Source organism: Homo sapiens, chromosome 12 (assembly GCF_000001405.40).
Source record: "Homo sapiens chromosome 12, GRCh38.p14 Primary Assembly".
Lineage (NCBI taxonomy): Eukaryota > Metazoa > Chordata > Mammalia > Primates > Hominidae > Homo > Homo sapiens.
In genome coordinates, this window is record NC_000012.12 from 5,051,141 (window position 1) to 5,068,970 (window position 17,830).

The 17,830-nt window shown below is 44.5% G+C and overlaps 1 annotated feature.

Annotated features, from left to right (window-relative positions):
- Positions 8,462–8,611: an enhancer, noted in NCBI's record as "active region_5840". NCBI's record gives its function as "activates an Ori minimal core promoter by ATAC-STARR-seq in GM12878 lymphoblastoid cells {active_cell/tissue: GM12878}" and the evidence as "EXISTENCE:reporter gene assay evidence [ECO:0000049][PMID:35858748]".

The following is a 17,830-nucleotide window of genomic DNA, read 5'->3' on the forward strand; positions in this document are numbered from 1 at the left end:
AGTTTATCTGTATCCAAGCTGCCTTTGAAGCCCTGATTTGCCTCCTCTGATTTGATGTTACTAATTTCAACTTGTGTTTATTTCAAATTTCAAGGCAGTATAGGCAATGGAAATGTGGCATAGCAATGAACAGGGCCCCCCAAAGAAGCATCTCACTATCTAGGGGGGAAAATGGAAGCATTGCAATTCCAGCGTACTTAGTACTATCATTCATTCATTTGTTCAAGTCATTTAACAGATATTTACTATGAGGCAGGCACCGTGCTAGACTCTGAGAATAACTAGCAAGAGGTCTTCCCTGATTGGATTTCCAGTCTAGTGGGGAGGATCAACAATTAAGTAAGCATGAAGAGATAATTTTCAAATTGAGGAAATGAGCAATGTCAGTTACATTTGGGGGACAGATGTGCTACTTAGAGAGATGCATGGCTACAGAAGAGGAGACATTTGAGCGAAGCAAAAGAAGACATAAAAAGAGACAATGAGTTGGGAGCAGTGGTGCTGGAACTACAGGGACTTTTGTGGGGAGCCTCAATTTTCTTGGAGAAGCAGAGGGTGGAGACCTCAGACAGAGCTGGGAGCTGAGGAAAGCCAAGTACCTGGAGTGCTTTGGGCAGGATTTTCAATCCCAGGGCCAGCCCTGGCCACTCACCATCAAGAAGCAGGAAGATAGCCCTGCCCCTGCAGGCAGCAAATCCAAAGAGATGCAGCTGGACCACTTCACTGAGGGAGGCACAGCATAAGTTTCTGCCGAAAGGCAAGCAGCAGGCTGAAATCTGATTTTTTTCTTTAATTTGAGGGGGCAGGCAAAGGCCCTCAGATGCCCCTGGCTTGTTTCACCAGCCAGCAGCACACCCCAGTGGATTCTGGGTATGTGCCAAAAAGCAGATACAAACAACCTGGGGATCCTGGAGGAGGCAGGTCCCAAGGTGAGGAGAGGGGTGCAGAGGGAGCAAGGAGTCCTAGAGGCCCAGAGTTCCTCAAAACTATTCTAAGACCAGGAACAGGAACCGAAAAATCTGAGAGAGGATGTGGTGGGGCCAAGAAGAGAGCATCAGGAAAACCAAACATCTGTGTGCAAAAAATGCCATTTCTCAGAAATTCACAAGGAAAGCTTCACTTACACCTGGATGGGGAACTTGATTTGGACCCTTACAAGCATGCTCATTTATGTTTCAGACTGGAGTGCTCTGGAAGACAATGGAGTTTCCCCTTTTATCCTGCACACACCAGTCCCTCCTTCCAGCAACTCTCTGGTAGGCATGGGATTTTTCCCTTCCTGTAGCCCTGCCTTTGGGAGAAGTGGTGAGATGTGAATTGTGCAGGAGCTGGACGTCAGCGCTAACTGTCAAAGGGGATTGCTCAGCGCCCCTTCCTCTCATTGTGCTTTCTATAACCTCTTGTGCATGACATTGTGTGCACTGAGGATGTCACTTCTGCCTCCTACAGGGATCTCAAGTCTCAGAACAAGCCCGTCAATCCTAGGTAGTGTGGTGGGGATAGAAATGAGACAGATTCTACCCTCAGGAAACTCACTGACTGATGTGGGCATGCTACACCTGCCTGTATAGGGAGCCACACATATAAAAATCAAGGACAAAATCTAAAGAACCAGCTATAAATGCCACAGAGAAATATAATTGCACTTAATGGTTTTGGGGATTGATCTAAGCCTGGCGCACTTATTTGAGCCAGGATTCCTGAAAGAGGAGACCTTCAGAAGCAGTGTGAAAGAAGGGTCACATATAAATCTGTGTCTTTATTACTGTAGGTCTTCCCCACCCTCCTGCCCCATGAACCCTCCTGCCCCATGAACCCTCCTCTCAACTCCCCAGGCCTCTCATGTTGATGGTCACTCTGTCCCTTGAACTGGCTATCACCTAGGCTGCAAGCTGACCTGCTCAGCAGATCCTGTCTCGTCACTCACCATGGCCCTCTTGGCTCATGGCCTTTGACACAGATTGAGCCCATTTGCTGCAATATAGTAAGAGATCAATAGTGATCTGTTGAATCTTGAGTTTACATTTTTTAAAAACAAGCTTTGCTCCATTTTTTTTTTACGTCTTCGGTTTTGTAGTAATTGGTCTTCTGGAACCAGGCTACTTTTAGGAGCCTTCAGCTTTATTATTTGGTAATCCTGTGAATTGTGTTCCAATATAAGACCTACTCTTAGGAATTTCTGAATAATGTGACCCTATTGCAATTGTAATGTTTATTATAAATTTCCAAATCGCTGCCGTTATAAAACTGAAGATTTATACAGCAGCTTTGCTCCAGAGTCCAAACAGCTGCCCCTTAGGCATGTTTTATAAACAACTGAGATTACTACAACCTGAATTGTAGCTCTCAGTAATCCATGCCAATTACAGGGAATGCACATGAGACACCAATGCATGTTTGTTTGCTTTCTTCCCTAGCAGATTAAACTTTTCATTACTGCAATCACTTGCATTTTTTAAAATGGACATCACTTAGGCCAATTACAAATTATAATGTCACCATGCCGGGCTAATTGTTTTGTATTTTTAGTAGAGACTGGGTTTCACCATATTGGTCAGGCTGGTCTCGAACTCCTGACCTCAGGTGATCCACCCGCCTCAGTCCTTCTTTATGTGATGTCAAATATATCTTCTCCTCAAAGAAACTACCCTTAGTCCCTCTTGTCCAGTGCCATTTCTCCTTTTTTGGCACTTCTATCACAGACGTATCCTGCCCCAACTGTGGTTAGTTGTTTTTCTACTTCTACTTCTTCACCCTTCCTCGAGAGCAGATCAGAGCTCATCGTGTTCCCGTGTATATCCCAGTGCCTAGAGTTGGGCTGTGGCAGCAAGCAGGTACCCAATAAGACTTTCTGGACTGCATTGCCTCCTCTTCTGACTGAAAATACAATCACTTATGTGCCTCCTACATCAAATGCGTTTGTGAAACAGTTGATACAGACGCTCCTTGGCATCCAGGAAGCTGCAGGAGCAGGGTCTTTGTTTGATGGTTCCCTTTGCTCTGCCTTGACTCACCATGTGTGCAGTCCAGGTGGATGATAACATTTAATGTGAGCTGGACTCCTAGAATTAAAAAGAAAGAGAACTGTATGGACAGGGATTCAGGGGAGTGTTTCAGAGACCAGGCAGAACTATAAGGTGAGAATGAAAGAGAGGATAGGCTGAGGGATAGACCTAGAATATTGGACATGTTCATATTCTGGGTAAAAAACAAAAAATGTCAGTGAGAGATAGAGTGACCATGTGTCTCATCTGCCAAGGACAACCAGGTATACATGTTGTTAAACAGTGAAGTTTTTTTTTAAATTTTTTAATTTAATTTAATTTATTTATTTATTTATTTATTTATTTATTTATTTATTTTGAGACAGAGTCTTGCTCTGTCGCCCAGGCTGGAGTGCAGTGGCAGGACCTTGGCTCACTGCAAGCTCCGACTCCCAGGTTCATGCCATTCTCCTGCCTCAGCCTCCCCAGTAGCTGGGACTACAGACACCCCCCCACCACGCCCAGCTAATTTTTTGTATTTTTAGTAGAGGCGGGGTTTCACCGTGTTAGCCAGGATGGTCTCCATCTCCTGACCTCGTGATCCGCCCGCCTTGGCCTCCCAAAGTGCTGGGATTACAGGCGTGAAACAATGAAGTTTTATTCATTATTTATAACACTTCATCCCATCTTCTTCCATAACGTCCCAGTTTGGAAGATGAATGAAATGGTCACCCGAGAGGAAGTAGTGGGTAGTAAGGGTGGTATTAGTTTCTCTTTCCATTATTCTCTGCTGTCATTTTCGTGGGGCAGCCCTGGGTGGTCAGGTTAGTTAATAATACCAGCGGCAAGTGGTGCCTTCAGGGCCAAGGTCAACCAGGCCACCACGTGTATTCTGAGCTTTCATGTGCCAGAGGCTATGCTAGACGCTGAGATTTAAGCATAAATATGACATTAGGGGGCTGTGTGCGGCATTTAATTAGGGTTCTCAACTCCAATCCAATAAAATACACTTCTCCAATCCTCAGCCCAGGACTGGGTAAATCTGTAGAAGTCCTAAGCACTGAAAATAATATCATGCTCCCCCATACATAGTGCAAAAATAAGAACAATACCAACCAAAACGTGAATTAAGAAAATCCCTGAAAGTTCTAGTATTTCCCTTAGTGCTTTTATTAAAATATCAAATGTCAAGTTATTTCAAAAAATTTTGATACTCTGTTTAGCTGGTGCCCAGGTTTACTGAGGTCCAATCAGGCCTCACCCAACATCCCCAATCCCCTGCAATCAACAAGGGGTCCCTCCACTGAGCTCTCTTGGCCACATCACTGGGCCCAATCATGGGTAAAGTCAGTTCTGTCTGGGTGGCTTTTTGGAGTGAGAAATAGGTTCCAGATGTTGACAGCTGGTGGCCACCAGGGCAGACCTAAGTCTGTGTGGAGCTTGCAATTTCCCAGAGCCACACAGAGGCCTTTGTTCTGCAGCTTTGTGTGTGTGTGTGTGTGTGTGTGTGTGTGTGTGTGTTTTGTTTTTTTGTTTGAGATGGAGTCTTGCTCTGTCACCCTGGCTGGAGTGCAGTGGTATGATCTTGGTTCACTGCAACCTCTGTCTCCTGGGTTCAAGTGATTCTCCTGCCTCAGCCTCCTGAGTAACTGGGATTACAGGCACCCGCCACCATGCCTGGCTAATTTTTGTATTTTTAGTAGAGACAGGGTTTCACCATGTTGGCCAGGCTGGTTTTGAACTCCTGACCCCATGTGATCCTCCCGCCTTGGCCTCCCAAAATGCTGGGATTACAGGTGTGAGCCACCGCACCCGGCCACTGTTCTGCAACTTTGAAGGAGGCTGCTCTGATGCCACCTGCAGAGGGGTCTGGTTGGTTGGCTCTTTTCTAAGAAAACACTGAGAAGGCAAAGCTGAGGATTAAATGATCTCTGCTGTTGATTAGTGATCACCCATCACTGATGCTGGGCATGGCCACCCTTAGGCTATAGGCTGCAGAGGTGATTTAGTGTGAACACTACATTTCTGAGACAAAAGAGACTGGCCTGAAATGGGAACAATGATATGGTCCTTTTGAAAAATGAACATTAATGAGACAATTGAATTGTATCATAAAAAGCATGTGAAGAAACCATAAATTTATTATACTTTTTAAGCAAATCTATGTTTATGGACTTTCAGGCATATAAATAAATAAATGTTCAAATGAGTCAACTTGGAGAAGGTCGTCTTGGAGAAGGTGATTAGAAAATGTTGCCATTGCTTCAAACATTTTGGAATTCTCGTTGGGAAGACATTCAAATTCTGTTTTTGGAGATGACTAATATCCTCTTTTCAAATGACAAGTTCCCATTGAACTTTAAGGGGCTAATTGTCACTCACACTTTAGTGTGAATTAGTTAAATCAAATGCAACTAACTATAATCTGACAGTCTGGGAAATGGGAGTTTAAGCTGGGGAAAGCGAGGCAAGGAGAGCTTGGAAGTGAATGCTGGACAACAGAGGGGGATAAGGAATTTGGGGAAGTAGAAAACAGGGCTTCCAGAGAGCAGCTGCAGAGTGAGCTGTGCCCCAGGAGGGAGAGGACAGAAAGCTGGGAAAAGGGGCCGAGGTGGAAGAGAGAATTGGGAAGACGTAAGGAGGAGCCTCGGGGCTGGTGCAGGAAGCGGCATGGAGTCAGTCCAGCATTTTAGTTAGGTGAGTGAGGCTTGGAGGCAGGTAGGTCTGAGTTCGAATCTCGATTTGTCATTTATTAGCTATGTGACCAAATGCAGGTGATACCTTTCTAAGCAGCCTGCTATAAAATAGTTTTGTGCAACTATGAAGTAGAGAAAATAATACGGCCTTCTTTTAGCGTTGTCATGGGACAAATGTAATAAACGACATAGATGTTTGTCAGAAAGGAAGCCCTCAGTAGAGGCCAGTTGTTGTTATTATTATATAAAGGTACAGGAGAAAGCCTAGAGCAAGCTCTGCCCCTTCAAAATGGGAACACCATCAGATTTAGTTCAACACTGTTTATCACGGGTGCTGCACTACAGCTGTAAGACATAAAAAGTTGAATGAGAGGGAATTATTTGCCCACAGTCTACTAAACAGCACAGACTAAGTGCACACATAACCAAAACTGATATAGAAATCAGTTTGGGTGACAGCAGAGTTTGGGTCCTCAGGAGTGGGCAAGGGTCAGGTATGGGGGGTGCCCTCAAAAGAGCCTTTCCCATGGAGGATGCTGTGTCTGAGATGGGTGTGGAGGGATGGAGGAGGTCCGCACAGCTGGGGAAATGCAGAGGGAAGTCCTTGAGAAGAAATCAGCTTGAGCGAAGGCACAGAGGTGAGGACATCCAGGTCTGTGAGGGGACCCTTTTGTGCTGTGCAGTGGGAATAGAGCTGTCCTGAACAGGACTTGTAGGGCCCTGAATGCAATGGTGCCCTCTCACCTCATCTCAGCATGAGCTTCATTTCCAACATGGATCTGAGAACTGGGCTTATTCCTGCTCACCGCAGCACAGTGTACAGCATTTGTCAATAATAAAATGAACTTATAATGATTAAGAAACCATTTTAAAAATCTGCCAGTTCACAAGTTTCTCTCCAGATGAGCTACACAGAATAGCAAGTGCTATTTCTTTCACTGCTTGATTTGCCCAACCTCAGAAATTAAATCCTCCAGGGACTGGCTCTTTTCTGAGACAGGTAACCATATTTGATTGGATAATGAAGAAAGTGTGAACATGAGGGGCTGGGCATAGTGGCTCACACCTGCAATCCCACAGCTTTGGGAGGCTGAAGTGGGAGGATCGCAGGAGACCAGGAGTTTGAGACCAGCCTGGGCAGCATAGTGTGATTCCATTTCTACAAACAAACAAATCAGCCAGGTGTGGTGTTGCATGCCTGTATCTCTAGCTACTCAGAAGGCTGAGGTGGGAGGATCACTTGAGCCCAGGGATTCAAGATGGCAGTGAGCCATGATCACACCACCGCACTCCAGCTTGAGTGATGGGAGAACCCAACTCTAAGTTAAAAAAAAAAAAGTGTGAACATTTGGGTATAGTGACATACCAGATAAAATTTAACATACAGATTCCAACAACCCAAGGCCTGAAATAACTTTCACCTCTGTATCCCTCCTAGAAACTTATGAGACCTAAGATCAAGTAGAAGGAACACAGTACAGCATAGGAGTTGAGACCAGGTGGTTTGGAAATACAGTGCTTGGATTTGAATCCAGGCTCTGCTTCTCCTTTTCTGTGAATATCTGTTTGTATCTGTCACGTAGGGATGATAGCACCTTCCTCACACGGTGGTGATGAGAATTAAAGGAATAGTGCACGGCAAGGACATTGCTTGGTATATAGAAAATTGTGAGTAATGCTACTCATCAGTATCATTCATCATTCACCATCTACTATGTATCAGGTGCTGTGAATAAAGTATAGCCCTTGACCCAGAGACACAGAAAGTTTCAGAGGCAGGAGCCCTGTGTTCATCCCCATGTCCTTTGAGTTTCTGCAGGGTCTATGGGCAGGCCCTCTCCTGAAGGGAGTTTGTCTCTTCTCTTCTATCTCACCACTTTTGACAGGCTGTTGATGCCACCTCTTCAGAAAGACTTTCTCTGGCCTCCACGTCCTGCAACCCCATCACCCCCTATCTCATTACCCTACTTTCTTCATAGCACTTACTGTTCTCTGAATTTGTATTCTTTATTTACTTGCATATTGCCTCATCCTCCTACTAAGATGCAAGCTCCATGAGAACCAGGACCTTGCCTGGCTCATTCACCCTGTGTATTCCAGGCACACAGTGGTGCGTAATAAGTACTTGTTGACTAACTCATTACTAGATGAAAGAAAGTCACTAGAAGTTGGTTTTGGGATGGTGCAGATCTGACAAAACCACTAGATTGTAAGTGGCTCCTTGTGGACAGAGGCCACATTTTCTTCTGTAGACTTTCTTAGTTGCCTACCAGGTTCCGCACATGCAGGGGAACGTGATAAACACTTGTTAGTGGACTGGCTGAGTCAATCAGAACAGAGAGGAGGTTTACCTGGATGGAGTAAAGGGAGTAATGAGATTATGGGTCTTGAGGACAGAAAAAGGCATAGAAAATTGTTTCCAGTGCAGGGGAGGTATTATTATTGTGGTAGGATAAGGGTAAGTAGATTTATAGTCATTTTTACTGTTGATAAGTTTAAAAATACGGCCCATGAGCTTATACAAGAAAGCTGGAGGTTTCACAATTTTTCCATTGCTTTGAAAGAGAGGTAACTTCCATCTACACTGGCATTCATCCCTTGGGCCTACGTGACATTTACAAGTCATTTATCAGCACTGAACTCCCAAGAGCTTGCTTCTCTGCCATTCTCCAAGATGTTGGCTGACACCCTCTGACAGGAGAAGCTGGGATATGTTTTGACAACCAAGTGGTTTCTTTAGCAAGCTGCTGGTGTTCTCAGGCAGCTCGGTGGAGAAAGCTTTGGCTTTCGGATCAGGACTGAAACTCTCCGGGGGTTCCCCTTGCAGATGTGCACACTGACTTCATCCTAAGGCTGTTATTCGGATTCGTCTGTGAACTCTGTGAAGCTGGCTTGTCAACTGAGTACAAAGCAGGTCTCAGGCCTCATCACTATCCATTTTTCTACTTAAGAAAATCTAGTGAACTTGTAGCACAAACACCTAGAGACCCCAGAAAATATCTTGTGAGCCCCTTCTAAGAAGGAGAAGTGAGCAAAATACTATAGGGAAGGGAGGACACAGTGAAATACCAAGAGTCAAACTGGGGAGTCAGTCCCTACACAGATGAAGAGATTTAAGAATTCCAGGTAGTGGGTATGACTGGCACTGCTAGCTACCACTTGCTGAGCACCTACTGTGTGCCGTGCATCATGGTAGACACTTTATATGCATTATTCCCAGTCCCTGGAATGGTGTGCCAGGTTGTAGAGCTACTGACATTCAGAGAGGATGATGATGTGCCTCAAACCACACAGCTAGTAGCCGGCAGAGCTGGGTTCGAACGCATGTTCTCTGACTCCAGACTGTGTCTCTTTCCACCCAGCCAGCCAGTCAAGGCTGGACACAGAGGAGCAGAAATCTGTATTGGTGGATTGTCCAGGCAGAGCAATGAAGCTTTTGCATAGGTGGAGAGGAGGGGCCTGGGCAGAGGGGGTAGAGCTGGGTAGCAGGAAGGAGAAATCACAGCTGCAGAAGCCTGGTGAGGAGTAGACGGGAAACACACTGGGAAGAGAGGGAGGGGCTGTTGTTGCTTGAGCAGAAGGTTGGCAAGCATGTGAGACTGTTTGTGGGAATTTTGTGAGCCAAATTTGGGAAGTCAAGTTGAGGCAGGCTGTGGTAGGCTTTGAACAAACTGAGGAATTTTGAACCGATGCTATACTTTAGGTGAAGACAGCTGTGGAGCTCTCATGAGAATTAAGGCCAGATGTGGTAGCTCACGCCTGTAATCCCAATGCTTTGGGAGGCTGGGGCAGGAGGATAGCTTGAGGCCAGAAGATTGACACTGACCTGGGCAACATAGCAAGACCCTATCTCTCTAAAAAGTAGAAAACTTAGTCAAGCATGGTGGCTTGCACCTGTTGTGCCAGCTAGTGCAAGGGATGGGAGGATCTCTTGTGCCCAGGAGATCAAGGCTGCAGTGAGCTGTGATAGGGTGACTGTACTCTAGTCTGGGTGACAGAGGGAGACCCCATCTCTAAAAAATGGAAAATAAAGCAGAGGGGAATTAACATAATGAAAGTGGTATTTTAGGAAGACTGGTGAGAATGGCATGTCGGAGAGCTGAGGCAGGGAAACCAGAGATAAGGTTTTGTCGTGGTGGAGGCAGGAGGAGGCTCCCACTCCCCCATCTGCTGCTCTGCCTGAGAAAGATTTCCCCTCCTCTCTGCTCACCTCCATTTCCGCACAGCTGCTGATGTTCCCCACAAATAGGCCTTCAGAGTGCTCTATCCAGCTCCTGCTAGCCTGTGGCCTGACTCCTCTACACCAGGGGGCCACGACCATGTCCAGGGTTGCCTGGGAGCACTCAGCAAATCCAAGCAAGCACATTTTCATAGCCAGAAGGAAGCCTGCCAATGTGCTGCCATCACAGGGAGGTACAAATATTTTGCTCTCTTACTATAAATGCTGATGGTGATTCTAGAAACAACTTGGATGTTTTAGGTCATAATTTATTTCTCCGTCCCATTCTGGGAAGGAAGGGAAGTTGTTGCCTCTTGTTTTAAATGGGAGACCCAAATCACATATTCAGTAATACCATGCTTATCTTTTGCTGGAAATTCACATGCTCGTGAAGGGCAGTGAGATGTTATGATATTTTTCCCTCTACGAGGTAGTTAGGGCTCCTGGAAAAGGAAAGGTTACTTTTACCAGGAGAGAGGGTGCCAGCTCCCTTGACCCCAGACCCAGGTGATACACCTATGCCAGATGGGAGTGTGTATGGGCATGGGGAGAGGGATGGGACGAGGGCTCTGGGGTATCTGCTGTCCTGTCATCTCCACATCTGAGGGATGGCTTCAGCCTCTGGAAACTGTGTCCATTGGATCTGACAACATGGGATGATCTCAGGAGTTTATCCAACCAGACAACCACAGAATCAGAGACTGTCAGAGTTGCAAGGGGTCTCAGAGTCCAACAATGGCAGTGTTCTCAAATTTCAGGATGTGTAAAAATCACTTGGGATGCTTCCAGAAATCAAGCTTACTGGGCCCTCTCCCCAGATCTTCTAGCTTACTGGGTCTCGGGAGTCTGCATTATTAGTTGGACCTCTTCATTGGAAGCACTAATGAATCTTGTCTGATTAAGCTCAGCAGGCAGAATTGCTCCTAGTACAGTAGGTTTTTGGAAAGCAAAGAAGGAGGCGGAATGACATCCTAGTGAGGGTCATCTGGTCGATCTGAGTGCTAAGCTCCAGCTCCCTATGGGGCCTTATGGTGGCACTCACACACTCTGCGCCCCTTCAGAAGGATTTCTCCTTACACCTCTTCCTTGAATATCCATGCCACCACCCTTACAATTTTGGCCTTTCTAGGTCCTTGACTAAGGAGTGAAAATATTGACAACTTTCTATTATTTTATAGAGGCTCTTATTTCAGATTATCTCCCTTTTAAGAAAAATGGATAGCCACTTTTCCATGGCTAGAGGTGACAATTTTCAATCATTTTAATTATACCTAACACATACACAGTGTTACCATGTACTATTATACATTCATCCCTTGTAATAACGCTGGAAAACTGGTGTCCTATTATGATTCCCATGTTACAGATAAGCTGGAACCCAGAGAGGTTAAGTAACTTGCCCAAGTTATATGGCAAGTCATGAATTACCTGGGATTGAAGCTTAGGCATTCTGGCTGCAAAGTTTGTCCTCTTCCAACCGTTGTATTTCACCTGAACTCTTCTTCTTTGGACAGGCTCTGAGTCCATGAACTGACTCAAGTGTGACATGCTAGACCTCTGGAGTTTTTTCCTCACTAAAATAGACTGCTATTGGGATGTCCACTTAATATCTTTTGGTCCTACATGCTTTAAGATCAGTTCTCCACTGCCAAAGGTCTCCATGGTTTATGTCCTGATTCCTTCAACAAGCTCATTGTCTCTAGTTATAAGGTCACTATCTCTAGGCATAGCCAAAACTTTTCTTAACAGTTATACTGCAGTTAGAAAATTATTTTTGTCTTAACTCTCAAAGTTGCCTCCTAGGATAAGTGTAAGGCATAGAACCTTTCCTCTATTTTACAAAAGACAAAATTAAAACTTCTCCCTTGGTTACCCACAATCTGCAAGCAAACTGTAGTTACCTAATATTTATTGAGCATTTATATTTGCCAGAGACTGTTTTAAGTGTGTGGTTTTGTTTTGTTTTGTTTTTGTAGAGACAGTTTCATTATGTTGCCCAGGCTGGTCTCAAACCCCTGGGCTCAAGCGACCTACTTGCCTTGGCCTCCCAAAGTGCTGGAATTACAGGTGTGAACCACCGTACCAGCCTTAAGTGTTTTCTGTGTACTATCTCATTCACTCCTCAAAACAATCAGGGAGTAGGTACTACTATTATTGCCATTTCGAACTATAAATGAGGCAGGAGAAAGATATTTGCCTAAGGTCTCATAGGAAGCAAATTGCAAAACCAGGATTTAATACCAGGCAGTCCAGCTCCAGAGCTAGCTCTGAGCTAATCCTTCTTGCCATAGCTTAAGCTTATTCCCTCATGCTGTGTCAGCAAAGAAGATTAATTCACCCATTGAGCAAATATTTATTGAATGCCTACTCTTTGCCAGGTGAAGGAAAACTGTACAGTCTCTGACTTTATGTAGCTTAGTCTAATGGAGGAGAGAGACACTGATCAAATAGTCCCATAAACCTAAGTGAAATGGCATGTGTGAAAAAGCACTGAAGGGGATGTCTATGGTGCCTGAAAGTGATGGTTTACCTTCTCAGGTGTGTTGGAGATAGAGACCTGGAACTACAAGGCCCCTTATGCCAAGAGTCTGCAAGCCTATCTGTGGTCACTACTGCTAGGGACCTTAAAACCTAACTCTAGCTTTGAAAGCCTTGGGGTGAAAGAACAGAAGAAGCAGGACAATGTGCTATGCAAGCCTCTAGGCAGCTTCTCTTCTTCCCTCTCTAACAGACTCGTTTTTCCTGCCTTGAATGGATCCCTTGAGCCCTTGAGAGGGGTGAAATAGATGATTCCCTAGAGAACACCTTGAAAGCTTACTCTTTCTCTGTGTGGGAACTCAGCACCAGACCCTCTGAGGTTGAAGAAAGTTCACAAAGCGAATCAACTGCATCAGATCTGCTTGGAGAGAAATGGGGGTCAGCATGCAGATTTCAGGGGAGACGAGGATGGAGACTCCGTGGGAGCTGGAGTCCCAGTGGTACATCCTAGAGAAGCAGACAAGGCCCTTCTTCTATGTTTGGCTGGAGTGCCTTCTGTGATGAAATGAGGGACAAGCTTAGGGCCCCCAGAGGACACATTGCCTCCATAGATTGGCGTGAGCATCACCGCATAGATTCATGGGAGAGCTTTGGAAACTCGGGGGCTATACAGGTGATTTCCAAAGTGTTTGACAATCTGGGTGTACTGTATTCATTGGGAAGAGAAAGAAGAAGGCTTCTTTATCACCTCAGAAGGAGCCTTGATGATGAAGGTTTTCCGACCAGGTCTTTCAGTCCTTTTACCCCAGCTCAACCGAGATCTCAGATATTTACTAATATCTGAGAAGCAACCCAGAAAATAGAAAGATTTCATTCACTTAGAGCCAATTTAGGAAAGGAGGCAATCCACCCAACCAAAGATTTATCAGAAGGGGCAAAAGGAGAAGCAGAGGGAAGGAAAAAAGAAGATGACAGTGAGGGAAGAGGGAAAGGAGTCAGGAAGTACCTGTAGGGTCATTGCCCTAAATGCTGCTCACTGTCCCCACAATTCATGGGTGGGCTACTTCAGAGTGTGAGATAATGTGTAGCACAGGTTGTCAGCCTCTCCAACGTCAAGGCCTGGACTGATAACAAAGGCAGGATGCCAGGAGCTCAGAGCTGACCAGATAGCCGGCCTTCAGCTTATCCAGCCTGGAGGATGGCATTTTCTTCTTGACCCACCGGTAAGAGCAACTCCACTGCCCTGGGAGCCCAGGGTTTCTGCCAGCAGCACTTTCTTTTGAACAACTGGGTTGCATAAAACAAATAATGATGAGCAACTGGTTGCTACAGTGCTCCCCCACTTCAGGAAAATATGATTAGGATAGACAGAAACAAACAAACAAAAAACTTCTGTTGAGAGTAAAGATGCTGAAGGAAATGTGGCATAGTTGAATTAGCACCAAATGTGGAGCCAGGAAACAAGAGTCCCTGCTTTGCCACTTACTAACTGGCAACCTCATGCAGTCCCTTAAGCTGTGTGACTTTCAGATCCCTGTTGTAAAATGGAGCTAATACTGTATGCCTTATAGGGTTTTGAATATTTTACAAATGACGTAATCTCTTTTGAATGCAAGACCTTCTAAAAACTATAAAATACTTTGAAATAAAAAGGATTTTGTCTGTTAACTTGAAAAGGAATAAAGTAGAAATGCTAAGTGGAATGATTATATTTCACCTATACTGTTGCAAATCCAGACTGCCGTGTTGCCAGTCATACTGCATTCCATATGAATGGCATTTTCAGAGTCATGATGTGAACGGTGTCTGTATCCTTTGTAGTAGTGTCAAATCAGGCAATGCAGTGGTGTCAAGTCAGGTGGAAGAAAATCATATTTAAAACAATAAAAAGCAGTTTAGTACATAGTTCCAGTCTGTATTTCAAAAAGCTATTAAGTTAGCAAAGCATTCATAGGAAGCAATGTATTTGTAAGGATAGGTTGGATTCTGCTTCAGTAACGAAATAGCCTCCAAGTCCCAAGGGCTTAAAACACAAAGATTTATTTCATATTCACTTCATCTGTCCATTTTGGAATAGCAGGGAGCTTTGGTCACTCTAGTCACTCAGGAACCAATGGTGACAAACAGCCAGCACCCGAACGTTACGAGCCACCATGCCAAAGGGAAGGAGACTTGTGAAGAATCTCACAGTGATACTTAAATGTGCTTGCCTAGACATGATAGATACTCCCGTTACTCCCAACTCATTGGCCAGAACTAGTCACATGACTGTAGCAAACTACAAATGACCCAGAAAGAACGATTCTGCCCAGAAGGTAGAGAGCTGGAAATAGTTGGAAATGCTAGTCATTACTCCAGTCGGTATTTGGAAACCAACGTGATCAGAACATCAAGTAGTTGATTGTGAAGGCACAGGTCCCCAAGTGATGGCCAGTGTTCAGAAATCCTACCTTCCAAAATGATGCTAAGGAACGATCTAGTCTTTTATTTTACTAGATGCTCCAATAGTTTGTTGAAGCAAATCTTGTTGCTATGCGAACTAACTTGAACTATTCCTCCATTTTTGTGCCTATGGAATCTTAGAATGGCAGAAGTGGATGAGATTTCAGGGCTCACTCAGTTTCACAGTCAGAGAACAGGCCTGGAGAAAGGCTAACTAAGGGTCTCTTCTGAGTCACACGGCTACTGAGGGGCTGCCCTAGGACCAGAATCTAGCCCTCTCGTTTAGGCTTTGTTCACTTCACTCTGCACCACACTTCCTTTAGCCTTTTCTCCAGAGCCAGATGTTTCCATTTCGTGGTACCAGCTCTCATACTATTTTTACTGATACAGCTGGCTCACGTAACGGAATTCATCTGTATTCCTCCTTTTATCAAATACTGGAATGTCTGCCTGCCTAGTGAGACGAACATACCCAGAATTTTAGACCAACAACTTGTGGAGTGACCTGTTTCTAAAGTATTCACTAGCTCATTTGCTAGGACTCTGGTTGACCTGTTGAGTTTGCATGAGAAAGCACTAGTTGTAGCTATTACACCATTTATAAGACTGGCCTTTTATGCTCTGATTATGTGTTGTAATGCTGTGTTTTGCTGCTTAGTTAACTACAATAATTAAAACAACCCTTTATCCTTTGCTAGACTGTAAACTCCATGAGAGCAGGGACCATTTTTGTTCAGTTCTTTACTGTATTTGCAACCCCTAGGCACTCAGTAACATTTGTAACATGAATGATTGTTTACTCTAGGCCACATCCTATGCTAGGTGCTTACTAAACAAGGTATCTTGTCCTCACAAGGAGCTTGCTGGGTAAATATAGTGTCCCGTTTTACAGATGAGCAAACTGAGGCTTAATAGTAGAGGCCATGTAGCTAATAAATGGATGCACCAAGGTTTAATCTAGGCCTATCTGGCTCCAAAGACTACATTTTTTTCTACAATACTAGTAATTTATCTTTTTCCCCAACCCTCTTTTATTTACCATATTTTCTTTCTTTTTTTTTTTTTTTGAGACAGAGTCTCACCCTGTCACCCAGGCTGGAGTGCAGTGACGTGATCTCGGCTCACTGCAACCTCCACCTCCTGGGTTAAGCGATTCTCCTGCCTCAGCCTCCTGAGTAGCTGGGATAACAGGCAGCCGCCACCACACTGGCTAATTTTTGTATTTTTAGTAGAGACAGAGTTTCACCATGTTGGCCAGGCTGGTCTCGGACTCCTGGCCTCAGGTGATACACCTGCCTCAGCCTCCCAAAGTGCTGGGATTACAGGCATGAGCCACCGCGCCCAGCCAATATTTTCTACGATTTTAGGTAGTCTTCCTACACCACATTTCTATGATGAATTCTCTCCTTCCTTTCTAGTTGCTTGCCCCAGGCCACTCCATGCTTAAATCTCTTCAAATAATTGTTGTTATTTAATTGATTACTTAAATGTAATTATTTTATTATCAATTTTAAAAAACCATATCACCATACCATGGAAATCATTTTTTTTCTTTCTTGAGACTGGGTCTCACTCTATCGTCCAGGCTGAGGTACAGTGGTGCAATCACAGCTCGCTGCAGCTTCAACCTCCCAGGCTCAAGCAATCCTCCTGCCTCAGCCTCCCAAGTGGCCGGGACTACAGACATGTGCCATCACACTTGGCTAATTTTTAACGTTGTATAGAGACAGGGTCTCCCTACATCACCTAGGCTGGTCTTGAACTCCTGAGCTCAAGCGATCCTCCTGCTTCAGCCTCCCAAATTGCTGAAATTATAGGCATGAGCCACCATGCCTGACCAGAAATAATTTTCATCACAAAATCCATATAGCTAAAACTATATATCTCCATTGCTGATGGGAATCATGTTTGTAAGTTGTTTTTGTGTTATTTTTCCATTGTAAGTTTTCATTCATGTTCTCCTTTCTACAGCTGCTTGTGACCTCCCATTAGATACTAAAAGATGTGTTCCAAAAGGTTTGCGTGTTAGGAGAACCTATTTAAATGTTAATGTCAAGTTGGCAGGCAATAAGCTGACATCTATTATTTGTGATGCAATTGATCCATCTGTGGGCCTTGCAGGTGGACCGTGAATTCCTTGTAGGCAGTAAGTGTCCCCCATTCAAGCCCTCCACCTAGCACAGGTGGTCGTTGGGAATATCAGTTGTTAAAAAAGCTTGACAAAGATCACACCTTTTCATACTTCAGGAAGCATGTCATTCTGTACAAAGAGGAGCTGTGCAAGAGTGGGTAAGAATCCATGCTTACCTGCCACTTCTATTGGGGAAACAAGTCAGAGTGCATGTCTGCATGCAATGGTCATCAGTGTTATCTGTGTCTGTCAAGGAGAATAATGACTACAATGAGGCACTCCAGAGGCGGGTGCATTCTTCAGCTTTTCTTTATTGCTGTGTAATTAATCCTTCTCAGGTGAGGTGACTTTTCTCCATTGGTATTGTCCTGTGTTTATGTGTATCAAGCTCAATTTCTCCCATGAGAAGTGGTTTCTCCTTCCTCTGACCTCCCATGACATTTTAACTCCATGCCTCTGTCATGAACATCTGTGTGTATGTCACACATCCTTTATAAGTGCATAAGCTTCTTAGGTCCAGCTTCATGGCTTGAGCATTTTAGTTTGCTTTATGTTACCCAGAAGAAGTATCTTTCACATAATAAGTGGATTGTAAATCATTGTTGAAAATATTAAATTGGGGCATAATCACATTGGCATTATAACCTCAGAAAACACTCCTGAGAGAGTCAGCTGGGGGTTTAATGGCTGAAGTCACGTGCAAATGGCTTTGGACTGTGCTCTGCTATTCATGATCTGAGTTAGCCTGGGCAGGCTATTTAACCTCTGTATTTTCTGTTCCCTTATTTGTAAAATGGTGATTAAAAAATACCTAATTGAGGAGGTTGTGTGGACTGAGATAGCATAAACAAAATACTTAGTAAAGTGCCTGGTATTTCAT